Source organism: Homo sapiens, chromosome 8, assembly GCF_000001405.40.
Source record: "Homo sapiens chromosome 8, GRCh38.p14 Primary Assembly".
NCBI classification, from domain to species: Eukaryota; Metazoa; Chordata; class Mammalia; order Primates; family Hominidae; genus Homo; species Homo sapiens.
Window position 1 is genome coordinate 47,399,045 of NC_000008.11, and position 27,547 is coordinate 47,426,591.

Sequence of the window (27,547 nt, forward strand, 5' to 3'; positions counted from 1 at the left end):
GAACTCTGGAGAAGTTTTGCTTTAAGGAGAGCAGATCAAAGTGTGTTAGTTGAAAGTGAATGTGAGGGTCAAGGTTTCTTATTTTAAAGGTGATAGAAATTTCATCATGTTTGTATGTTGATAGGGAAGTCCAGGAGAAAACAGGAAACTGCTGAGGCAGGGGAGGGAGGGGACAACTGATGGAGTTGTCTCTGTCGTGGTGAAGGGAGGCACAAATGGGGGTGACCTTGTCAGGAGTTCAGAGTGTGCACCCATGGCCAGGGCGGGCAGCACCCATGCAGGTGCCAGGATGGACCTGGTGAGGAGCAGACAGGCCATCCACGGACAGCTGGGAAGGCAGAGTCCCTGCTGTTACAGGCACATGTATCTGGCTTGGGAACTAGTTCTTTCCGATCAATTCTATTCCAGTAAATAGGGCAGTCCTTCATTAGCTGACAGGGAGGATGAGAACGGAGTTGTGGAGGTCTGAGGAGAGAGAATCTGTGACACGGGCATGTAGTGGGGACAGATGAACTGGAGAAGGGCTCCAGGGCTGTCTGACAGGATCAGGCCCTGTTGGGAAGTCGTGGTCATGGACTGAGTTTGAGACCTATCAGCCAGTGTGGATTCGACCCTTGGGCTGCCCATGTGGGCAGAGCACAAGGATGGTCCAGGGGCACACTAAAAGGGGTTGACAGGAGTTCCGAGAGTAGCAATAATAATGACCCGTGAAGCCTAAGCTGGGTAAAGTGAGAATGAGAATGTGCAGGATGTGGAGCATGGTGAGTTGGGGTAGAACTCACTGATTGAGGACTGGGGAAAAGGTTGGTCAAACACTTACAGAGTAACGCTACTAGAGGTGATGAGCTGGGGCAGTAACGATGACGGGCGCCCAGAGTTGAGCCGCTGGAGGGAGGCAGTTCGGGACTTCAAGATTAGAGTGGCTGAGGCGAGTGGAGGACACCATCTTGGAGCTGGGCGGGCACTGACATCAGCAAGAATGGTGGCCATAACCCAGGAGATAAGGCCTCTAAGGGTGGCAGGTCAGTGCCAGTTGCCTTCCCTGGCATTGGGCAGGCTGAGTTGGAGCTGGAACGTAAGGGAGGCTACCAGATGGTCTTGAAGCTGCAGTGAAGAGCAAGGCCATCCTTCCTGGCCTTTCAGGCCCAGTGAGAGGGTAGGGGAGACAACACAGTGCTGTTTAAGGTCAGGTCACTGTCAGGGAGTCCTCAACAGAAGGTGGAGGGGACGTTCCTAGAAGTGGCTGAAGCTGCTCAAACAGCATGCAATTGATCATTTTCTTCTTGTGATTTCTAGGAACAACTAAATGAGGATGTCTGTTTTGAAGTTACTATGCTTAAATACTAAAAATGAGATTGATGTGCTTAGGGTTGTTAGTCTCAGGTCTTCAAACTGGAAGACTTCCTGTTTTACTGAGCTGACTAGAAAGGCCTGTGACTGCCTTGTCTGCTTTTGATGAAGGGATGGTGGTTTGTGGTGATTAAAAAGAACTTTTTTACCTGATAAAGACCAGGTAGCAAGGATTGAGAGAGGTAGTTGACATTTGAAGGATGGAGCACATTGGCCCTTCTCTTTCTGGTTTGCCCTGCAGGAAATGTCACTCAGTCTCTTTGGACTTCTTTTTCTTTCTTTCTTTTTTTTTTTTTTTTTAAATTTGTGGAACTATTCAAAGCATAAGTAACAAACACCAATGCAAAATTGTTAGATATTTAAGTGTGTTGGTAATAATAAAGCTATATATATCTCCCCAGTTTGATGGTCAAGTTGTTTTTCACAGTGCTTATTATATCTTGAAAAGACAAAATCTACGTCTGATTGGTGTACCTGAAAGTTACAGGGAGAATGGAACCATGTTGGAAAACACTCTTCAGGATATTATCCAGGAGAACTGCCCCAATCTAGCGAGGCAGGCCAACATTCAAATTCAGGAAATACAGAGAATGCCACCAAGATACTCCTCGAGAAGAGCAACTCCAAGACACATAATTGTCACATTCATCAAGGTTGAAATGGAGGAAGAAATGTTAAGGGCAGCCAGAGAGAAAGGTCGGGTTACTCACAAAGAGAAGCCCATCAGACTAACAGAGAATCTCTCGGCAGACACTCTAGAAGCCAGAATAGAGTGGGGGGCCAATATTCAACATTCTTAAAGAAAAGAATTTTCAACCCAGAATTTCATATCCAGCCAAACTACGCTTCATAAGTGAAGGAGAAATAAAATCCTTTGAAACAAATGCTGAGAGATTTTGTCACCACCAGACCTGCCTTACAAGAGCTCCTGAAGAAAGCACTAAACATGGAAAGGAGCAACTGGTACCAGCCACTGCAAAAACATGCCAAATTGTAAAGACCATTGAGGCTAGGAAGAAACTGCATCAACTAACGAGCAAAATAACCAGCTAACATCATAATGACAGGATCAAATTCACACATAACAATATAAACCTTAAATATAAATGGGCCAAACTCTCCAATTAAAAGACAGAGACTAGCAAACTGGATAAAGAGTCCAGACCCATCAGTGTGCTGTATTCAGGAAACCCATCTCACGTGCAGAGACACACATAGGCTCAAAATGAAGGGATGGAGAAAGATCTACCAAGCAAATGGAAAACAAAAAAAAAGCAGGGGTTGCAATCCTTGTCTCTGATAAAACAGACTTTAAGCCAACAAAGATCAAAAGAGACAAAGAAGGCCATTACATAATGGTAAAGGGATCAATTCAACAAGAAGAGCTAACTATCCTAAATATATGTGCACACAATACAAGAGCACCCAGATTCATAAAGCAAGTCCTTAGAGACCTACAAAGAGACTTAGACTCCCACACAGTAATAATGGGAGACTTGTACACCCCACTGTCAACATTAGACAGATCAATGAGACAGAAAGTTAACAAGGATATCCAGGAATTGAACTCAGCTCTGCACCTAGCAGACCTAATAGACATCTACAGAACTCTCCACCCCAAATCAAGAGAATATACATTCTTCTCAGCACCACATCGCACTTATTCCAAAATTCACCACATAGTTGGAAGTAAAGCATTCCTCAGCAAATGTAAAAGAACAGAAATTATAACAAAATGTCTCTGAGACCACAGTGCAATCAAATGGTACTGGTGTCCCACTACGAGAATCTCTGGGACACATTTAAAGCAGTGTGTAGAGGGAAATTTATAGCACTAAATGCCCACAAGAGAAAGCAGGAAAGATCTAAAATTAACACCCTAACATCACAATTAACAGAACTAGAGAAGCAAGAGCCAACACATTCAAAAGCTAGCAGAAGGCAAGAAATAACTAAGATCAGAGCAGAACTGAAGGAGATAGAGACAAAAAACCCTTCAAAAAATCAGTGAATCCAGGAGCTGGTTTTTTGAAAAGATGAACGAAATTGATAGACTGCTAGCAGGACTAATAAAGAAGAAAAGAGAGAAGAATCAAATAGACACAATAAAAAATGATAAAGGGAATATCACCACCAGTCCCACAGAAACACAAACTACCATCAGAGAATGCTATAAACACCTCTACGCAAATAAACTAGAAAATCTAGAAGAAATGGATAAATTCCAGCACACATACACCCTCACCAGACTAAACCAGGAAGAAGCTGAATCCCTGAATAGACCAATAACAGGTTCTGAAAATGAGGCAATAATTAATAGCCTACCAACAAAAAAAAGTCCAGGACCAGACGGATTCACAGCCGAATTCTACCAGAAGTACAAAGAGGAGCTGGTACCATTACTTCTGAAACTATTCCAATCAATAGAAAAAGAGAGAATGCTCTCTAATTCATTTTATGAGGCCAGCATCATCCTGATACCAAAGCCTGGCAGAGACACAACAAAAAAAGACAATTTTAGACCAATATCTCTGATGAACATCAATGCAAAAATCCTCAATAAAATACTGGCAAACTGAATGCAGCAGCACATGAAAAAGCTTATCCACCACAATCAAGTTGGCTTCATCCCTGGGATGCAAGGGTGGTTCAGCATACGCAAATCAGTAAACGTAATCCATTATATAAACAGAACAAAAGACAAAAACCACATGAATATCTCAATAGATGCAGAAAAGGCCTTTGACAAAATTGCAACAGCCCTTCATGCTAAAAACTCTCAATAAATTAGGTATATATCGGACATATCTCAAAATAATAAGAGGTATTTATGACAAACCCACAGCCAATATCATACTGAATGAGCAAAAACTGGAAGCATTTCCTTTGAAAACTGGCACAAGACAGGGATGCCCTCTCTCACCACTCCTATTCAACATAGCGTTGGAAGTTCTGGCCAGGGCAATCAGGCAAGAGAAAGAAATAAAGGGTGTTCAGTTAGGAAAAGAGGAAGTCAAATTGTCCCTGTTTGCAGATGACAGGATTGTACATTTAGAAAACCCCATCGTCTCAGCCCAAAATCTCCTTAAGCTGATAAGCAAATTCAGCAAAGTCTTGGGATACAAAATCAATGTGCAAAAATCACAAGCATTCTTATACACCAATAACAGACAAAACAGCCAAATTATGAGTGAACTCCCATTCACAATTGCTTCAAAAAGAATAAAATACCTAGGAATCCAACTTACAAGGGATGTGAAGGACCTCTTCAAGGAGAACTATAAACCACTCCTCAACGAAATAAAAGAGGAAACAAATAAATGGAAGAACATTTCATGCTCTTGGATAGGAAGAATCAATATTGGGAAAATGGCCATATTACCCAAGGTAATTTATAGATTCAATGCCATCCCCATCAAGCTACCAATGACTTTCTTCACAGAATTGGAAAAAAATACTTCAAAGTTCATATGGAACCAAAAAGAGCCGCATTGCCAAGACAATCCTAAGCCAAAAGAACAAAGCTGGAGGCATCACGCTACCTGACTTCAAACTATACTACAAAGCTACAGTAAGCAAAGCAGCATGGTACTGGTACCAAAACAGAGATACAGACCAATGGAACAAAACAGAGCCTTTGAAAATAATACCACACATCTAAAACCATCTGATCCTTGACAAACCTGACAGAAAGAAGAAATGGGGAAAGGATTCCCTATTTAATAAATGGTGCTGGGAAAACTGGCCAGCCATATGTAGAAAGCTGAAACTGGATCCCTTCCTTACACCTTATACAAAAATTAATTCAAGATGGATTAAAGCATTAAATGTTAAACCTAAATCTTAAAAACCCTAGAAGAAAACCTAGGCAATACCATTCAGGCCATAGGCAAGGGCAAGGACTTTATGTCTAAAACACCAAAAGCAATGGCAACAAAAGCCAAAATTGACAAGTGGGATCTAATTAAACTAAAGAGCTTCTGCACAGCAAAAGAAACTACCATCAGAGTGAACAGGCAACCTACAAAATGGGAGAAAATTTTTGCAGTCTACCCATCTGACAAAGGGCTAATATCCAGAATCTATAAAGAACTTAAACAAATTTACAAGAAAGAATCAAACAACCCAATCAAAAAGTGGGCAAGGGATATGAACAGACAGTTCTCAAGGGAGGACATTTATGCAGCCAATAGACACATGAAAAAATGCTCATCATCACTGGCCATCAGAGAAATGCAAATCAAAACCACAATGAGATACCATGTCACACCAGTTAGAATGGCGATCATTAAAAAGTCAGGAAACAACGGGTGCTGGAGAGGATGTGGAGAGAAATAGGAACACTTTTACACTGTTGGTGGGACTGTAAACTGGTTCAACCATTGTGGAAGACAGTGTGGCGATTCCTCAAGGATCTAGAACTAGAAATACCATTTGACCCAGCAATCCTATTACTGGATATATACCCAAAAGATTATAAATCATGCTGCTATAAAGACACATTGACACGTATGTTTATTGTGGCACTATTCACAATAGCCAAGACTTGGAACCAGCCCAAATGTCCTTCAGTGATAGAGTGGATTAAGAAAATATGGCACATATACTCCATGGAGTGCTATGCAGCTGTAAGAAAGGATGAGTTCATGTCCTTTGTTAGGGACATGGATGAAGCTGGAAACCATCATTCTGAGGAAACTGTCGCAGGGAAGGAGAACCAGACACCGCATGTTCTCACTCATATGTAGGAGTTGAACGGTGAGATCACTTGGACACAGGAAGGGGAACATCACACACCGGGGCCTGTCATGTGGTGGGGGGATGGGGGAGGGATAGCATTAGGAGAAATACCTAATGTAGATGACGAGTTAACGGGTGCAGCACACCAACATGGCACGTGTGTGTGTGTGTGTGTGTGTGTGTGTGTGTATATATGTGTGTGTGTATATATATATGTATATTTAACAAACCTGCACATTGTGCACATGTATTCCAGAACTTAAAGTATAATAAAAATAAACCAAAATTTTAAAATATTGTATTTACAGTCATTTTAATTGTTTATTCTTTACCTGGTTGTATAGCTTATTAAAAATATTTTGACTGTAAATCAGTTGGAATATTTTTGAATCTTTATCCTTCTTTACTTCTCCATATTGTTTTTATAGAAATGTTTACCAATGTCAAATTGATACCAGTCATCTTTTGAGATAGGTTACCAGTCTGTTAATTTTATAGAAAAGATAATTAGGATATCTTAACTTGCTGAGTGAATTCATCATATTTTTATTCCATCGGAGTTTGGCCTTTATAAATAACTTATCTGGCTACGTTCAAAAGAGTTAATTTGGATATAGATGGCAGGGCCTTCCTGAACTTTTGGTATGACTTAATTTTTTTTAACATGAGATATGTTTTTACTAGAAATAGGATTGTTGATTAGAGGACATGGTGTTTCCTAAGCTCAAGTTCTTAAGTTCAAGTGCATGTGACTGGAATTCCCTGCATAACAGGCCCTAATGGCCAAACTCAGGTGAGATGCAGATTTTTTCTGAGGGCTCCAGATACTGCTGTGTGTAGAGAGCGCCTGTGCATGTTTACTGTTGCTTTTACCTTTCATCCTGTAATCTGCACAGTTTTCTTACGAGGTTCTAGGCTTGACTTTAACCAGATAGTTTTTTCAGAGTTCATTTTGCCTTTTTTTTTTTTTTTCTGTAAGGTCACAGCATTGAAAAGCAACATTTGGCAAATAATGTTCTAGATAGTTGGGCAAAGAATACAGCATTTGCTTCTTGTATTTATTGTGCATATCATTTTAAATAATACTGTTTAAGAGGTGCTAGGTATATTATCAAGACTAAGAGTTTGAACTCTGGAACCAGACTGCCTAGGCGTGCATCCAGCTACACCACTCATTAGACATTTCACCTTGGACAGATGTTTAACATCTTGGTGCCTCAGTTTGTCATCTATAAAGTGGAATAATAATAGTACCTACTTCACGGTGTTGTGTAAAGGGGAAGCATAAACGAGTTACTTCATGTAAACAGAATGATATGAAGAAGGGCTTAATAGGAAGTAGAGGTTGACATGTAGAGGTGCTATGGCATATTTCTGAGCATAAGAGGTTTTAACTTTTTTTCTGTTACATGTACTACACGCAAGTATATTCAGAAATAGTAACCTATAGGAAAACATACTAGGTGTCTCTATAGGTATTAATACTAGCAATATTATGTATTTATTAAAATATTTCCATCATAATGGAAAGATCTGTATATAGGCTGCAAGTGAAAAACATAACAAAAACAGTTACACCAATCATGGGCATTTTTTGAAGGTTTACTAAATGCCACGTGCTGCACTAAGTCCATTCTGGTTTTAACAGCTAGTTCCTCATCTGGTTAGTTACGTAATGCTGGAGAAGTTTCTTAACCTCTCTCTAAATTCTGGTTTTATCATCTGTGCAGTGGGTACTGATATCTGTTCTTTCAGTCTCAAAGGGATATTATTTGAATAAAGGTAATGTAGTGAAATGATTAATGAATTGGTAACAAGATAATAAACTTATGAGATAATACATTGATACCCGATATAGCATGTAGCTATAGTGGTAATTAACAACTGATCTTAATTTTTCTTGAAATTATAGTTATGTTAGTAGTTGATAACTTCTCTTTCTCTCTACATATGCATGTATTTATTTACTTATAATTTACATACACCTATATATTTATAAGCATAAATATATCTCAGTAAGTATATGTGTTCATTGATAGGTTAATGCTCTTCTGCAGTGCCTGCATGTCTGTCGTTATAAATTGTCTTTCTGCTATACATGGAAGTTTTCTTTTTTATAACATTGGTATCTTTGCTGTGTGTTTGTGATTGATACTCAAATATCTCTGGAGTCCAAATAAGGGACCCATACCCAAGTGCTCTTATTTGAGTGTTCTATCAACAGTTGGCAAAGTTATTCTTGACTGGAACTCTGAGCCCACTTTACATTTCTTTGCTCCTATGTGCTGAGCTCATTGGGAGCTTTCCCACCTCCATGGCAGCACTCATAGCTGTCCTTGTGTCCCTGGTACCTAACGAAGTGCTAGGTGCCAGCATATAGCAGGTGGTAAGTAAGCAGTGCTTGTTTTAGGATTGAATAAATGAACTAAGAAAGAATAGAAAAATAGGTAAGCTGATATTTAGCTGTCATATTTCCAAGAATGTGATGTTTTTGGACATAATATTAGCCCATATTTCTAAGAATCAGAAAACCAAGCTTCTAAGAAAACAAAAAACTGACTTATGAGGATATGGCCTCTGGGAAGATAATGTGGTAACAAATATACGTTAAAATTTTGCATGTTTTATCTGTTTGTCTCTGGTTGGGGGGTATACAATATAAATGTTCCAGTGATTCTGAAGTTTTCCTTTTAACTAAACTTAATACATTATAATTCATTAAACAGAGGTGGACTAGCAGAAAGACTAAATGGACTGCAGAATCGAGAGAGATCTGCTATTTCTTTGTGGAGACATCAATGTATTTCTTACCAAAAGACACTTTCAGGTAAGGCTTGTGCAGGAATCTGAGACAATGTGTAAAAAAATATTTTAGTTAAAAGAATTCTTACATTAAAATATATGAAGTTAATTGTTAATATTTTCATGACTTTTTAAAAATTTTTTCCAACATTCTAATTTTAACATATAAAAACTATATATAGTAAATATATTTAACTTGATGAGTTTAAAAATAAGCATACTCTTATGAAAACATCACCACAATCTGTGCTATAAATCTACCCTTGACCTCCAAAAATTTTGTTCTATTCTTATCATTAAGAGCACTCTACCCTCTTAGCAAAATTTATTTTGTTTTATTTCATTATTTAGAGACAGGGTCTCACCGTTGCCCAGGCTGGAGTGTAGTGACATAATCATGTAGCCTCAAACTCTTGGGCTCAAGCAAATTCTCTCACTTCAGCCTCCCGACTGGCTAAGACCACAGGCTTTTTCCACCGTGCCCAGCTCCTCTTAGCAAAATTTTAAGAATACAATACAGTATGTTAACTATAGGCATGATTCTGTACTGCAGATCTCTAGGACTGGTTTAGCTTATATAATCAAAACGTTGTACCCTTTGACAAATACCTCTCTATTGGCAGCCACCATTGCAGTCTCTGCTTCTGTAGCCAGAGCACTATTAGTCAAGAAAAAGAGATAAAAGATATCCAAGTTGGAAAGCAAGAGGTAAAGCTGTCTCCGTTTGCAGATAACATGATCTTATATCTAGAAAACCCTATAAGACACCCTGCCCCTGCCAAAAAAAAGTTAGAACTAATAAATGAATTCAACATAGTAGCAGGATTAAAAATCAACATACCAAAATCAATTGCATTTCCATATAGTAACAATGAAATTTCTGTATATTAACAACGAGATATTTTCTTTTCTCTTGGAAATTAAGAAAGCAGTCTCATTTACAATAACATCAAAAAGAATGAAATTCGGGACCGGGCATGATGGCTCACGCCTGTAATCCCAGCACTTTAGGAGGCTGAGGCGGGCAGATCATGAGGTCAAGAGATCGAGACCATCCTGGCCAACATGGTGAAACCCCATCTCTACTAAAAATATAAAAATTAGCTGGGCGTGGTGGTGCACGCCTGTAGTCCCAGCTACACGGGAGGCTGAGGCAAGAGAATCGCTTGAACCCAGGAGGCGGAGTCTTCAGTGAGCCAAGGTTGTGCCACTGCACTCCAGCCTGGCGACAGAGTGAGACTCTGTCTCAAAAAGAAAAGAAAAAGAATGAAATACTTAGGAATAAACTTAATCATGGATGTCAAGGACTTGTACTCTGAAAACTGACTTTTTTTTTTTCAGGTGTCATATAGGTCTCAGAAATTATTCCAACAAATGAGTTTATTCCTCCAAGGTCTAATGACTGAAAACTCTTGTTTTTCAACAAATTGCTTGATATTGAAAAGATTCCACATGTCTAGAAAAGCCTCCTCTCCTCCTAAACAGTGCTGATTTGGTAGTTTTTTCCTGTGTGTTCCCTCCATCTAGAGTAGGGGATGGGTAGGTGTGGGCCCAGTCATGTATTCCAAACCAACTATTATTAGTCTTTCCTGAGGGATCATTGGGATATACATTTTAATAGGTTCCCAGGTGGTTTCTGCACATGCTAGAATTTAAGAAACATTATTCTTAGAGTTGATCTCCCCGTTCCCAATAATATATTCTTCTAAATAGATCACTCAACTGTTATGTTCTCAACTATTATATTACACATTTCTTTAGAAGACTTTTCAATTCTTATCTCATTTATTCCTTTTAAAATCCTTTCCGAGGCCAGGTGTGGTGGCTCATGCCTGTAATCTCCATCCTTTGGGAGGCCAAGACGGGAGGATCACTTGAGGCCAAGAGTTCAAGGCCAGCCTGAGCAATGTAGTGAAACCCATTCGCTGCAAAAATTTAAAAATTAACTGTACGTGGTGGCACACGTCTATAGTCCTAACTACTCGAGAGGCTGAGATGTGAGAATTGCTTGAGCCTAGGAGTTCTAGGTTACAGTGAGCTATGATCGCACCTCTGCACACCAGCCTGTGTGACACAGCAAGACCCTGTCTCTAAAAAAATACAAAAAACTCCTTTCCCAGCTGTCGCTTAGCAATTGCCTTCTCTCACATTCTTGCATTAAAGTACTATAATATGAAATACATATATATGTATCAGGATGACCTAATATATATGACCCAAGAATACTTTTTCTTTTTTTATTTTATTTTACCTTTTTTTTTTTGAGACAGCATCTCGCTCTGTCACCCAGGCTGGAGTGTAGTGGCAAGATCCTGACTCACTGCAACCTCCGTATCCTGAGTTCAAGCGATTCTCCTCCTCAACCCCCGGAGTAGCTGGGACTATAGGTGCCTGCCATCACGCCTGGCTAATTTTTGTATTTTTAGTTGAGATGGGGTTTCGCCATGCTGGGCAAGCTGATCTCGAACTCCTGACCTCAGGTGACGCACCCACCTCAGCCTCCCAAAGTGCTGGGATTACAGGTGTGAGCCATCATGCCCAGTCACTTTTTCTTCTATACATATCTGTGGGTCAATCCATTGTTATACTTACGACTTTGTTTCTTGGCGTTTTTTTATATTAATGATTATGACATTAAATAATAATCTTTACAACTCATTTGACCACCCTGAAGGCCAGGCAAACATAAAGTTTGCCTGGTCTTATTATTTAGAGAAGTCTTTTTTATTATTATTATTATATTTTAAGTTTTAGGGTACATGTGCACAACGTGCAGGTTTCTTACATATGTATATATGTGCCATGTTGGTGTGCTGCACCCATTAACTCGTCATTTAGCATTACATATATCTCCTAATGTTATCCCTCCCCGCTCCCCCAACCCCACAACAGGCCTCAGTGTGTGATGTTCCCCTTCCTGTGTCCATGTGTTCTCATTGTTCATTTCCCACCTATGAGTGAGAACACGTGGTGTTCGGTTTTTTGTCCTTGCGATAGTTTGCTGAGAATAATGGCTTCCAGCTTCATCCATGTCCCTACAAAGGACATGAACTCATCCTTTTTTATGGCTGCATAGTATTTCATGGTGTATATATGCCACATTTTCTTAATCCAGTCTATCATTATTGGACATTTGGGTTGGTTCCAAGTCTTTGCTATTGTGAATAGTGCCACAGTAAACATACGTGTGCATGTGTCTTTATAACAGCATGATTTATAATCCTTTGGGTATATACCCAGTAATGGGATGGCTGGGTCAAATGGTAATTCTAGATCTAGATCCCTGAGGAATCGCCACACTGACTTCCACAATGATTGAACTAGTTTACAGTCCCACCAACAGTGTAAAAGTGTTCCTATTTCTTCACATCCTCTCCAGCACCCGTTGTTTCCTGACTTTTTAATGATCACCATTCTAACTGGTGTGACATGGTATCTCATTGTGGTTTCGATTTGCATTTCTCTGATGGCCAGTGATGGTGAGCATTTTTTCATGTGTCTCTTGGCTGCATAAATGTCTTCTTGTGAGAAGTGTCTGTTCATATCCTTTGCCCACTTGTTGATGGGGTTGTTTTTTTCTTGTAAATTTGTTTGAGTTCATTGTAGATTCTGGATATTAGCTTTGTCAGATGAGTAGATTGCGAAAGTTTTCTCCCATTCTGTAGGTTGCCTGTTCACTCTGATGGTAGTTTCTTTTGCTGTGCAGAAGCTCTTTAGTTTAATTAGATCCCATTTGTCAATTTTGGCTTTTGTTGCCATTGCTTTTGGTGTTTTAGACATGAAGTCCTTGCCCATGCCCATGTCCTGAATGGTATTGCCTAGGTTTTCTTCTAGGGTTTTTATGGTTTTAGGTCTAACATTTAAGTCTTTAATTCATCTTGAATTAATTTTTGTATAAGGTGTAAGGAAGGGATCCAGTTTCAGCTTTCTACATATCGCTACCTAGTTTTCCCAGCACCATTTATTAAATAAGGATTCCTTTCCCCATTTCTTGTTTTTGTCAGCTTTGTCAAAGATCAGATAGTTGTAGATATGCAGCATTATTTCTGAGGCCTCTGTTCTGTTCCATTGGTCTATATCTCTGTTTTGGTACCAGTACCATGGTGTTTTTGTTACTGTAGCCTTGTAGCATAGTTTGAAGTCAGGTAGTGTGATGCCTCCAGCTTTGTTCTTTTGGCTTAGGATTGACTTGGCAATGCGGGCTCTTTTTTGGTTCCATATGAACTTTCAAGTAGTTTTTTCCAGTTCTGTGAAGAAAGTCATTGGTAGCTTGATGGGGATGGCATTGAATCTATAAATTACCTTGGACAGTATGGCCATTTTCACAATATTGATTCTTCCTACCCATGAGCATTTAATGTTCTTCCATTTGTTATTTAGAATTTAGGGAAGTCTTAATAGCACATTGGCTTAGACACAAAAAAAGAATTTAATGGGACTTGTAATTGAATGCCACAGGGACCATGCTTCAGGCATATTGGTTGGAAAGGCTGGCGGTCATTCTCTGTGTGGTAACTCTCCTCTTCAAGTCCGATAAAAAGAATGCTTTCTTTCCAATATTTTACCAGAAGTGCCCAAAATGACTTTCATTGGTCTGGTAGAGACAGGAATCCCTGCTTGAAATCATCCTAATCACTCTGGCCAACATGGGCTACAGTCAGTAACACACTACCATCCATATCCTTAACTTGTGATTATTTTATTTCCAGAGTTATTTAATAAAAATCAGCAGGAACTATTTGTAATTCTACAGTATGTTATCTCATTTTAGTCTTTCAGTGATTCTTCATGTTCTCCTATTTATAAGTATTTGCATGTGTATATTTAACCTCTCAAATGTGAATGACCTGGAACTGGAGTGACCACTGTTTCTTATAATCTACTTCCCTCCATCTCTAAATAGTTTCTGTTTAATTTGTGTGTCACTCATTGCTTTCAATTTAGTTTGTGGTTCTATGCATTATAAACTTCTTTTGTTCTGCTTGAACCAGAAAAATATTTCCTTGCCACTTAAATTCTCAAATGGCTCCTCCTTCTTTTGACTCCCTTCTTTTGAAGTAATGATATGAGAGAATGGCAAGCTTGAATTTCTTTCAACTGGATATAAATATTTGCATTATTGGGTTTCAGGAAGGCCACTTTGAGTTCTTAGTTACAACATTAGCTTTGTGTTGGGTTGTGGTGGATGGTGAACTATCAGATGGAAAAGAGGAGCATGGCACACAGGACTCTGGCTACTGGCGGCCTAAAAGGCCAGAACCTGAAGATATCATTTGCATACTGCGTTGACATTCATGCAGCGCTTTTGTTTCCTTTTTCCACATGAGGAGATGGAATGCTAATTCTGTGAGGACTCTTAGAGACATTCCAGTCCAAGCTCCTCTTTGGCAGATTGCCTAGAGGAGGGAGGTGACTTGCTCTGATTATCTAGCCAAGGAAGAGACAGGGCCAAAGCCAGGCCTCCTGGTTCCCAGTGCCATGCTCTTTCAAACCCTGCCACTCTTCTGCCATATGAAAATAATCATTTTAATCCTCTGCCAGTTTCCTCTTGATCTTGCTAGTGGAGAATAACCAAATAGTCCAAATTGGACTTTGCATGTTTAGTTCAGGTAGCTGTCTTGAATTTTGCTGATGTTATTATAGCATTGACAAATTGTAAATATCTTCCAAGTAGGAGCAAAACATGGGCGAACTTTGAATTGGATCATAAATTCTTAAATAGTTTGGGTTCTGTCTGTCCTGTTTCCCCCTTCAACATGATCCTCATTGTTGTATCACATTTGGAGGTTTGATGTTGGTGGGTACAATGCTGAAGGCTTACTACGTATTAAATCATTTCATATGCAAACTAATCTTCTAGAAGAGTTTGCTTTCCTTATTTTCCAGATAAAAAAAACTGTAGGTTGAGTATATGCTATAGATGACTAAGGCCAGATTTGAACTGTCAAGTCGAAGTTTGTTAATCTCTACAGACCTTCATTAGTTACTCTGTTTGGGCTGGAGAAAGTTAGGCTTAAGAAGACAAGGGATTGAGGAGTTAGCAAAATTAGAAGTATTAATACAAATGTTTTTCTTTTGAAAAAAATCTTACAAAATGTAGGTCTGTATCACATTCTTGAGACAGCACTAATTGGTGAAGCATAGGACATAGGTTTGAAGGTTGCAGAGACTGTGTAAATTGTGGAACTGTATAGGATGTCCTAAAGTCTTATGATTTTGATGGGAAGTGGCAGATTGTCTTCTTAATTATTGATATTAATACACATAGAATTCACTAGGCGTTGTCATCCCGGTTACTCACTATAGTGAATTGATCAAATTGTCAAGTATGTAGTTGACAGAGTGTCTTCTGCTTCTCTGGATAGAAAAATACCAAGTTAAACATGTATGACTGGTGGTCCAGAATGAAGGGAGAAAAAGGTGATTTTTTTTGTTTGGCTCAAAACAAAAACATAACTTACTTGAAATGTTCCTTACAATATCACTTCTTAAATTTTGTTCTAGATATTAAGTGTAGCATGTCAAACTAAGATTCTCCTTATTTATCTGCTTCAGAGATGAGAAATTATGGCTTACAAAATTGATCTGTCGATTATAATGATTTAGCTTGAGATCTTTCTTTCCACGTGTCTTCCATTTGGGGAGTATTTAATTACCCCACAGTTGAGAGGTCTGTTTTTGTCTGTATATTTATTCAAGTTGTTGTGTATGTCAGTATCCCACTCCCTTATATTGCTGGGTACTATTGCATGGTACGAATGTGCCACAGTTTGTTTAACTGTTCGTTGACTGAAGGGCCTTTGGGTCGTTTCCATATTTGAGTCATTACAAATAAAACGTGCTGTGAACATTTGTATACCAGTTTTTGAGTGAACATATGTTTTTATTTTTCTGGGATAAATGATCAAATGATTTAAAATGTTGGAATGTCTCTAACACATTATTCTGCCCGTTTTTGTTTTGTTTTGTTTTGTTTTTTTTCTTTGAGGCAGAGTCTCGCTCTGTTGCCCAGGCTGGAGTGCAGTGGCACCATCTCAGCTCACTGCAAGCTCCGCCTCCTGGGTTCACACCATTCTCCTGCCTCAGCCTCCCGAGTAGCTGGGACTACAGGCACCCGCCACCACGCCTGGCTAATTTTTTGTATTTTTAGTACAGATAGGGTTTCACCGTGTTAGCCAGGATGGTCTTGATCTCCTGACCTCGTGATCCTCCCGCCTCGGCCTCCCAGAGTGCTGGGATTACAGGTATGAGCCACCATGCCCGGCCTATTCTGCCCTTTTAAAACACTTTGTATTTAAAAATAATTGTAGATTGACATGCAGTTAGAAATAATACTGAGAGATCCCTTGTACCATGCCCCCAGTTTCCCCCGGTAATGACATCTTTTATAACTGTAGAATGACAGGACAGCCAGGATGATGATCTCCAATACAGTCCATTGACCCTGCTCAGATTTCACCAATTTTACATGCATTTATTTCTGTGTGTATTTTTTGTTTTATGTAATCTTATCACCTGTTACTGTGGTCTGAATTTTTGTATGCTCCCAAAATTCATGTTGAAACCTAATCACCAGTTTGTTGGTATTAGGAGGTAAGTAAGGCTTTTGGAAAGTGATTAGGTCATGAGGTGGAGCCCTCATGAAGGGAATTAGAAGAGACCGTAGAGAGCTAGCTCATCCTTCCACTGTGTGAGGAGGATACAGCAAGAAGAATCCAACTGTGAGAATGTAGGCTCTCACTAGGCACAGAGTCTGCCAGAGCGTTGATCTTGGACTTCCCAGCCTGCAGAACTGTGAGAAACAAATTTCTGTTGCTTCGAAGCCACACAGCTCTGGTTTTTTTGTTGTAACAGCCAAGATGGACTAAGATACTTGTTTAGATTCATGTGACTATCACATAGTCCAGACACAGAAGGGTCCATCACCCCAAGGATTCTCATGCCACCCTTTATAGCCACAGTCATCTCTTTCCCACTCTCCTCCCTGATGCCTTGCAGCCACTAATCTGTTAAACATTTCCATAGTTTGTTATCTAAAAATGCTCACACCTGTAATTCCAGCACTTTGGGAGACCAAGGCCGGCAGATCACAAGGTCAGGAGTTTGAGACCAGCCTGGCCAACATGGTGAAACCCTGCCTCTACTAAAAATACAAAAATTAGCCAGGTGTGGTGGCAGGCGCCTGTAATCTCAGCTACGCAGGAGGCTGAGGCAGAGAATTACTTGAACCCCGGAGGCAGAGTTTGCAGTGAGCCGAGATGGCGCCACTGCACTCCAGCCTGGGTGACAGAGCAAGACTCTGTTTCAAAAAATAAAATAAGTTATAGAAATGGAATAATATAGTTTATAACCTTTTGGGATTGAGATTTTTCACTTAGTTTAATTCCCCGGAGATTTATCCAAGTTGTTGTGTATGTCAATAACCCACTCCGTATTGCTCGGTAGTATTCCATGGTACAAATGTGCCACAGTTTGTTGAACTATTTGTTGATGAAGGGCCTTTGGGTTGTTTCCATATTTGAGTCATTAAAAATAAAAGGTGCTGTGAACATTTGTGTACCAGTTTTTGAGTGAACATGTTTTTATTTTTCTGGGATAAATGATCAAGATTGCGATTGTCAGGTGTTATGGTAAGGGCATGTTTTGTTTCATTAAAAAAGGCATAAGAATACCAAATATTTCAATGAATTCTTTTTTTTTATACTTTAAGTTTTAGGGTACATGTGCACAACATGCAGGTTTCTTACATATGTATATATGTGCCATGTTGGTGTGCTGCACCCATTAACTCGTCATTTAACATTAGGTATATCTCCTAATGCTATCCCTCCACCCTGCCCCCACCCCACCCACAACAGGCCCTGGTGTGTGATGTTCCCCTTCCTGTGTCCATGTGTTCTCATTGTTCAGTTCCCACCTATGAGTGAGAACACGCGGTGTTTGGTTTTTTGTCCTTGCGATAATTTGCTGAGAGTGATGGTTTCCAGCTTCATCCATGTCCCTACAAAGGACATGAACTCATCCTTTTTTTATGGCTGCATAGTATTCCATGGTGTATATGTGCCACATTTTCTTAATCCAGTCTATGATTTTTGGACATTTGGGTTGGTTCCAAGTCTTTGCTATTGTGAATAGTGCCACAATAAACATACATGTGCATGTGTCTTTATAGCAGCATGATTTATAATCCTTTGGGTATATACCCAGTAATGGGATGGCTGGGTCAAATGGTATTTCTAGTTCTAGATCCCTGAGGAATCGCCACACTGACTTCCACAATGATTGAACTAGTTTACAGTCCCACCAACAGCGTAAAAGTGTTCCTATTTCTTCACATCCTCTCCAGCACCTGTTGTTTCCTGACTTTTTAATGATCGCCATTCTAACTGGTGTGACATGGTATCTCATTGTGGTTTCGATTTGCATTTCTCTGATGGCCAGTGATGGTGAGCATTTTTTCATGTGTCTCTTGGCTGCATAAATGTCTTCTTGTGAGAAGTGTCTGTTCATATCCTTTGCCCACTTGTTGATGGGGTTGTTTTTTTCTTGTAAATTTGTTTGAGTTCATTGTAGATTCTGGATATTAGCCCTTTGTCAGATGGGTAGACTGCAAAAATTGTCTCCCATTCTATAGGTTGCCTGTTCACTCTGATGGTAGTTTCTTTTGCTCTGCAGAAGCTCTTTAGTTTAATTAGATCCCATTTGTCAATTTTGGCTTTTGTTGCCATTGCTTTTGGTGTTTTAGACGTGAAGTCCTTGCCCATACCTATGTCCTGAATGGTATTGCCTAGGTTTTCTTCTAGGGTTTTTATGGTTTTAGGTCTAACATGTAAGTCTTTAATCCATCTTGAATTAATTTTTGTATAAGGTGTAAGGAAGGGATCCAGTTTCAGCTTTCTACATATGGCTAGCCAGTTTTCCCAGCACCATTTATTAAATAGGGAATCCTTTCCCCATTTCTTGTTTTTGTCAGCTTTGTCAAAGATCAGATAGTTGTAGATATGTGGCATTATTTCCGAGGGCTCTGTTTTGTTCCATTGGTCTATGTCTCTGTTTTGGCACCAGTACCATGGTGTTTTTGTTACTGTAGCCTTGTAGTATAGTTTGAAGTCAGGTAGCGTGATGCCTCCAGCTTTGTTCTTTTGGCTTAGGATTGACCTGGCAATGCGGGCTCTTTTTGGTTCCATATGAACTTTAAAGTATTTTTTTCCAATTCTGTGATGAAAGTCATTGGTAGCTTGATGGGGATAGCACTGAATCCATAAATTACCTTGGACAGTATGCCCATTTTCCCAATATTGATTCTTCCTATCCATGAGCATGGAATGTTCTTCCATTTGTTTGTATCCTCTTTTATTTTGTTGAGCAGTGGTTTGTAGTTCTCCTTGAAGAGGTCCTTCCCATCCCTTGTAAGTTGGATTCCTAGGTATTTTATTCTCTTTGAAGCAATTGTGTATGGGAATTCACTCAGGATGTGGCTCTCTGTTTGTTATTGGTATATAAGAATGCTTGTGATTTTTGCAAATTGATTTTGTATCCTGAGACTTTGCTGAAGTTGCCTGTCAGCTTAAGGAGATTTTGGGCTGAGACGATGGGTTTTTCTAGATATACAATCATGTCATCTGCAAACAGGGACAATTTGACTTCCTGTTTTCCTAGTTGAATACCCTTTATTTCCTTCTCCTGCCTGATTGCCCTGGCCAGAACTTCCAACACTATGTTGAATAGGAGTGGTGAGAGAGGGCATCCCTGTCTTGTGCAGTTTTCAAAGGGAATGCTTCCAGTTTTTGCCCATTCAGCACGATACTGGCTGTGGGTTTGTCATAGATAGGTCTTACTGTTTTGAGATACGTCCCATCAATACCTAATTTGTTGAGAGTTTCTAGCATGAAGGTTGTTGAATTTTGTCAAAGGGCTTTTCTACATCTATTGAGATATTCATGTGGTTTTTGTCATTGGTTTTGTTTATATGCTGGGTTACGTTTATTGATTTGCATATGTTGAACCAGCCTTGCATCCCATGGATGAAGCCCACTTGATCATGGTAGATAAGCTTTTTGATGTGCTGCTGGATTCGGTGTGCCAGTGTTTTATTGAGGATTTTTGCATCGATGTTCCTCAGGGATATTGGTCTAAAATTCTCTTTTTTGGTTGTGTCTCTGCCAGGCTTTGGTATCAGGATGATGCTGGCCTGATAAAATGAGTGAGGGAGGATTCCCTCTTTTTCTGTTGATTGGAATAGTTTCAGAAGGAAAGATACCAGCTCCTCCTTGTATCTCTGGTAGAATTCGGCTGTGAATCCATCTGGTCCTGGACTTTTTTTGTTTGGTAAGCTATTAATTATTGCCTCAATTTCAGAGCCTGTTATTGGTCTATTCAGGGATTCAACTTCTTCCTGGTTTAGTCTTGGAAGGGTGTATGTGTCCAGGAATTTATCCATTTCTTCTAGATTTTCTAGTTTATTTGCGTAGAGGTGTCTATATTATTCTCTGATGGTAGTTTGTATTTCTGTGGGATCGGTGGTGATATCCCCTTTATCAATTTTTATTGCGTCTATTTGATTCTTCTCTCTTTTCTTCTTTATTAGTCTTGCTAGTAGTCTATCAATTTTGTTGATCTTTTCAAAAAACCAGCTCCTGGATTCATTGATTTTTTTGAAGGGTTTTTGTGTCTCTATTTCCTTCAGTTCTGCTCTGATCTTAGTTATTTCTTGCCTTCTGCTAGCTGTTGAGTGTGTTTGCTCTTGCTTTTCTAGTTCTTTTAATTGTGATGTTAGGGTGTTAATTTTAGATCTTTCCTGCTTTCTCTTGTGGGCATTTAGTGCTATAAATTTCCCTCTACACACTGCTTTGAATATGTCCCAGAGATTCCGGTATGTTGCGTCTTTGTTCTCGTTGGTTTCAAAGAACATCTTTATTTCTGCCTTCATTTCGTTATGTACCCAGTAGTCATTCAGGAGCAGGTTGTTCAGTTTCCATGTAGTTGAGCAGTTTTGAGTGAGTTTCTTAATCCTGAGTTCTAGTTTGAACTGTGGTCTGAGAGACAGTTTGTTATAATTTCTGTTCTTTTACATTTCCTGAGGAGTGCTTTATTTCCAACTATGTGGTCAGTTTTGGAATAGGTGTGGTGTGGTGCTGAGAAGAATGTATATTCTGTTGATTTGGGGTGGAGAGTTCTGTAGATGTCTATTAGGTCCACTTGGTGCAGAGCTGAGTTCAATTCCTGGGTATCCTTGTTAACTTTGTGTCTCGTTGATCTGTCTAATGTTGACAGTGGGGTTTTAAAGCCTCCCATTATTATTGTGTGGGAGTCTAAGTCTCTTTTTAGGTCTCTAAGGACTTGCTTTATGAGTCTGGGTGCTCCTGTATTAGGTGCATATATATTTAGGATAGTTAGCTCTTCTTGTTGAATTGATCCCTTTACCATTATGTAATGGCCTTCTTTGTCTCTTTTGATCTTTGTTGGTTTAAAGTCTGTTTTATCAGAGACTAGGATTGCAACCCCTGCCTTTTTTTGTTTTCCATTTGCTTTTAGATCTTCCTCCATCCTTTTATTTTGAGCCTATGTGTGTCTCTGCAAATGAGATGGGTTTCCTGAATGCAGCACACTGATGGGTCTTGACTCTTTATCCAATTTGCCAGTCTGTGTCTTTTAATTGGCACATTTAGCCCATTTACATTTAAAGTTAATATTGTTAGGTGTGAATTTGATCCCGTCATTATGATGTTACCTGGTTATTTTGCTCATTAGTTGATGCAGTTTCTTCTTAGCCTCGATGGTCTTTACAATTTGTCATGTTTTTGCAATGCCTGGTACCAGTTATTCCTTTTCATGTTTAGTGCTTCCTTCAGGAGCTCTTTTAGGGCAGGCCTGGTGGTGACAAAATCTCCCAACATTTGTTTGAAACAATTTTATTTCTCCTTCACTTATGAAGCTTAGTTTGGCTGGATATGAAATTCTGGGTTGAAAATTATTTTCTTTAAGAATGTTGAATATTGGCCCCCATTATCTTCTGGCTTGCAGAGTTTCTGCAAAGATGTCAGCTGTTAGTCTGATGGGCTTCACTTTGTGGGTAACCCCACCTTTCTCTCTGGCTGCCCTTAACATTTTTTCCTCCATTTCAACTTTGGTGAATCTGACAATTATGTGTCTTGGAGTTGCTCTTCTTGAACAGTATCTTTGTGCTGTTCTCTGTATTTGCTGAATCTGAATTTTGGCCTGCCTTGCTAGATTGGGGAAGTTCTCCTGGATAATATCCTGCAGAGTGTTTTCCAACTTGGTTCCATTCTCCCTGTCACTTTCGGGTACACCAATCAGACGTAGATTTGGTCTTTTCACATAGTCCTATATTTCTTGGAGGCTTTGTTCATTTCTTTTAATTCTTTTTTCTCTAAACTTCTCTTCTCACTTCATTTCATTCATTTTATCTTCCATCACTGATACCCTTTCTTCCAGTTGATTGAATTGGCCACTGAGGCTTGTGGGTTCGTCCTGTCGTTCTCTTGTTGTGGTTTTTAGCTCCATGAGGTCCTGAAATGACTTCTCTGCATTGGTTATTCTAGTTAGCCATTCGTCTAATCTTTTTTCAAGGTTTTTAACTTCTTTGCCATGGGTTTGAACTTCCTGCTTTAGCTCGGAGTAGTTTGATCATCTGTAGCCTTCTTCTCTCAACTTGTGAAAGTCATTCTCCATCCAGCTTTGTTCCGTTCCTGGTGAGGAGTTGCGTTCCTTTGGAGGAGGAGAGGCTCTCTGCTTTTTAGAATTTTTAGTTTTTCTGCTCTGTTTTTTCCCCATCTTTGTGGTTTTATCTACCTTTGGTCTTTGACGATGGTGACGTACAGATGGGGTTTTGGTGTGGATTTCCTTTTCTGTTTGTTAATTTTCCTTCTAACAGTCAGGACCCTCAGCTGCAGGTCTGTTGGAGTTTGCTGGAGGTCCACTCCAGACCCTGATTGCCTGGGTATCAGCAGCGGAGGCTGCAGAACAGCCAATATTGGTGAACAGCAAATGTTGCAGCCTGATTGTTTCTGGAAGTTTTGTCTCAGAGGAGTACCTGGCTGTGTGAGGTGTCAGTCTGCCCCTACTCAGGGGTGCCTCACAGTTGGGCTACTCGGAGGTCAGGGCCCCACTTGAGGAGGCAGTGTGTCCGTTCTCAGATCTCCAGCTGCGTGCTGGGAGAACCACTACTCTCTTCAAAGCTGTCAGACAGGGACTTTTGAGTCAGCAGAGGTTTCTGCTGCCTTTTGTTTGGCTATGTCCTGCCCCCAGAGGTGGAGTCTACAGAGGCAGGCAGGCCTCCTTGAGCTCCAGTGGGCTCCACCCCGTTTGAGCTTCCTGGCTGCTTTGTTTACCTACTCAAGCCTCAGCAATGGCGGGCTCCCCTCCCCCAGCCTCACTGCCCCCTTGCAGTTTGATTTCAGACTGCTGTGCTAGCAATGAGCGAGGCTCTGTGGGCGTAGGACCCTCCGAGCCACGTGCGGGATACAATCTCCTGGTGTGCCATTTGCTAAGACCATTGGAAAAGCGCAGTATTAGGGTGGGAGTGACCCGATTTTCCAGGTGCCATCTGTCACCCCTTTCCTTAGCTAGGAAAGGGAATTCCCTGACCCCTTGTGCTTCCCGGGTGAGGCGATGTCTCGCCCTGCTTCGGCTCACGCTCTTTGTGCTGCAGCCACTGTCCTGCACCCACTGTCTGACCATCCCCAGTGAGGTGAACCCGGTACCTCAGTTGGAAATGCAGAAATCATATGTCTTTTGTGTCGCTCACGCTGGGAGATGTAGACTGGAGCTGTTCCTGTTGGGCCATCTTGGCTCCACCCCTCTGCAGTGAATTCTAATACATCTTTCTAGGCTTAAGAAATTTTTTTTTAACATCTTTGGTATGTGGATGTCAGTTTTTCCTTTGTTCCCTCCTGAGTAGCTGACTTTGCTGGGCTGTTTTATAACTCCTACTTGTAACTTTTAAGAATCAATGTTATCTTCCTTGTTGGTGGCTTCTAGTACATTTCAGTATAAAAGACATATATCTCAAGATTCTTTGTGATACACTGAGAAGGTATTGAGTTTGACTTTAAAAGAACAGCCAAAGGCCGGGTGTGGTGTCTCATGCTTATAATCCCAGCAATTTGGGAAGCCGAAGTGGGTGGATCACAAGGTCAGGAGTTCGAGACCAGCCTGGCCAACATGGTGAAACCCCGTCTCTTCTAAAAATGCAAAAATTGGCATGTTGTGGGCTCCTGTAATCCCAGCTACTCGGGAGGCTGTTACAGGAGAATCGCTTGAACTGGGAGGTGGAAGTTTCAGTGAGCCGAGATTACGCCACCACACTCCAGACTAGGTAACAGAGCGAGACTCTGTCTCAAAAAAAAAAAAAAAATAGAGCAGCAAGAGCCAGGCACAGTGGCTCATGTCTGTAATCCCAGCACTTTGGGAGGCTGAGGCAGGTGATCACTTGAGGCCAGGAGTTTGAGACCAGTCTCACCAATATGGCGAAAAAGTACTAAAAATACAGAAAAACTAGCCAGGTGTGGTGGTTCACGCCTACAATCCCAGCTATTCTGGAAGCTGAGGCATGAGAATCACTTGAACCTGGGAGGCAGAGGTTTTTGTGAGCCGAGATCACGCCACTGCACTGCTATCTGGGCAACAGAGCAAGACCCTGTCTGAAAAAAAAATAAAAATAAAAAAATAAAAGAGCAGCAAAAAGCACAGATGTTGCACCCAAAGGCCTTGCAGAGAATGCAGTTTGATGAAATGGCATGGGGTGGGCAGGGGAGCCCAGATCATGCAGGGCCTGGAGGCCTTGGCTGGGTTTCACTTCCAAGGTAGTGCCTTGGAAACCTGCACTTTAAAATGTAGCTGTGGCATAGAGAATGGACAGCTATAGAGGCAAGGGGAAAATACGTTCTATTTATCTTCACGAATCATTGTATTTTTCTTTTTTTAAAAGAGGAAACAGTTTCCAACATTGCTTTGCTCATTATCTGCATGATGGTGAACAGTGATTACTAAGTGATACTCAAAGCATTTTGCATGTATATTAATCACAATTACCCTTCCAGTTAGGTCCTGCTCTCCTTATTTTAGAGATGAGGACAATGCAGACACAGGAGAATATGGATGGGTACAGCCTTGTGTGCCTGCCAGTGGGTAGCAGAGCCAGATTTACATTGGGCAGCCTAACTTGGTGGCCCATGTTCATAGCCTACTTGTTTTAGGGGCAGGTCTGGGCAGAACTGAGTTCAGGAGATGTGAGTGCAGCAGTGGTTGCACCCTGGCTCCGTTGTTTGATCTCTGTTTAGTAACAGGGTGACAATTTTTTTCACAATATGTTTGATATCATAGTTTTTAAAACTAAAAGTAGTTACAAATGTTCTTTTATTTTTTTGAGTAGGGTCTCCCTCTGTTGCCCAGGCATGAGTACAGTGGCACCATCACAATTCACTGCAGCCTTAACCGCCTGGGCTCAAGGGCTCCTGCTACCTCAACCTCCAGAGTGGCTGGGACTACAGTCACATGCCACCACACCCAGCTGTTTAAAAAAAAATTTCTTTTTTTTCTCTACAGAAATGGAGTCTTCCTATGTTTTCCAGGCTGGTCTCGAACTCTTGGCCTCAAGGGAACCTCCCTTCTCAGTCTCCCAATGAATTGGAATTACAGGCGTTAGCCACCATACCCGGACCCTTAGATGTTCTTAAATGCAAAAAACCTTCTTTGTTATACAGGAAGAGAGTAAAGAAAAAAGAAGAACCAGTGATAACAAAGAAATTGATGGGCTTCAGATAAATTATTTTTCATGATGAAATTTTTTGGGGGAAAGGGAAAGGTCTTGCTCTGTTGTGCAGGCTGGAGTGCAGTGGCGCAGCCTTGGCTCACTGTAACCTCCGCCTCCTGGGTCCAGACAATTTTTGTGCCTTCTGAGTATGCTGGGATTACAGGCGCCTGCCACCACCCCTGGGTAATTTTTGTATTTTTAGTAGAGCCTGCCTCGGCCTCCCAAAGTGCTAGAATTACAGACATTAACCACCTTGCCCAGACTTTAACTGCCTATTCTTAAGCAAGATACTTTATTTTTGAAATTTAAGATCACTTCCGTTAGCTAATTTAAAAAAATGATTCTTATTTAAATTGTATTATAGAGGGTAAGCAACCAAGTAATATTCTCAGTGTTTTTCAATCATCCAGATGAAAATTTTATATATGCTCATATTTCTGTGTTTATTCTTGTTGTGTGAAGTAAATGCTTTACTGGTCACTATATCTGGTGGTGGAGATGGGATAGTGGGAAGTGAGGGTCACAGGTACCAAGCTGGCAGGTCACATTCATTTACTCAGCAGTTGCTCAGCAGGGGCCTCCAGTGTGCCAGGCTCCTTGCTGGGCTCTAAAGATACACTGTGAATAAGCAAGATCTGGTCACTGCACCCTTAGACCTTCTCTTTTAGTGGACTAGATGGATGACAAGCAGAGAGAGAAAATCGGGACAGGTTAGTAAAGTGCAGGGTCTGCATGGGCATGGTAGGAGCTGTGCAGGACAGGCTATGGAAGCGAGCTTCATATTTACAGTGGGTAAATACAACCTCTGTCTAGTTTCTCAGCCAGAATATCAATGTGAGGTGCCTAAACAGTTTTGGGATGGTGGAAGTTTTGCTATCTATTTGTTCTTGCTAGAAAAATTATATTTTGTGTAATAGATTTTAAATGTTCCATATTTTAAATATTTTTTCTTGTATAAAATTATTATATTTGAAAGATTTCTTTAGGTTATTATTGAAGTTCAGTAAGAAGCAGTTTATTTAGTATACATTATATTCACACAGTAAAAAGTGAGTACAACTTAAACCTTTGGAAAATTGAGGGTGGGACAAAATTTTGGTTTAGGAGTACCTTTGTCATGTTAATATTTGCTTTTATTGAATTATCATTTTGTATTGAAATATAAGAAACTACAGAAAACACAGATACACAGCTTAACAAGTGTTATATAGAAGGTACCCGTATTACTACCAGTACTTAAAGAATAGAAATAGGCTGGGCACGGTGACTCACGCCTGTAATCCCAGCACTTTGGGAGGCTGAGGCAGGCAGATCACGAGGTCAGGAGTTCAAGACCAGCCTGGCCAACATGGTGAAACCCTGCCTCTACTACGATACAAAAAAAAAAAAAAATTAACCAGCCATGGGGGCACACACTCCTGTAATCCCAGCTACTTGGGAGGCTGAGGCAGGAGAGTCACTTAAACCCGGGAGGCGGAGTTTGCAGTGAGCTGAGATCATGCCATTGCACTACAGCCTGGGCAACAGGGCGAGACACAGTCTCAAAAAAAACAAAGCAAAACAAAACAAAAAACCATAGAATAGAAATAGATGGTTTTCTATTCAGTATTTTTTAACTCACTACAGCAATATTGTAAATTGATGCCTTATGCCTTTTTATTCTTTCTTGCCAAATGGCTATAATATTTTGGCTTATCTTTTTTTTTTTTACTTTGTTCCTTACTACTTTCATTCAACATTTATTAAGCAACAAGTAGATTATCATCATTGATAGAACTGTCTGATTCCATCATAACATTATAATTCATTTTTCCTTGCTTCCTTTTGTAAGATATTAAAGTTTTATTCTTTAGAAGGAAACAAAACCATATTTTACACTTG

General features: G+C 40.3%; 1 protein-coding gene across 55 annotated transcripts in view; it reads left to right on the forward strand.

The window, feature by feature from the left end:
* SPIDR (scaffold protein involved in DNA repair) overlaps positions 1 to 27,547 on the forward strand; it is a 475,429-nt gene that overhangs the window by 138,167 nt on the left and 309,715 nt on the right. For 47 of the 55 annotated variants that reach the window (NR_148202.1, NR_148205.1, NR_148204.1 and 44 more), the window contains one exon: positions 8,817 to 8,917. The exons of the other annotated variants lie outside the window; for them this stretch is intronic. Coding sequence is in view for 40 of the 47 variants with exons in the window: in XM_017013268.3 (XP_016868757.1) it covers positions 8,817 to 8,917 (101 nt within the window). In the remaining 7 variants the exon portion in view is untranslated. The remainder of the gene's footprint in view (positions 1 to 8,816; positions 8,918 to 27,547) is intronic. 55 annotated transcript variants of the gene reach the window in all.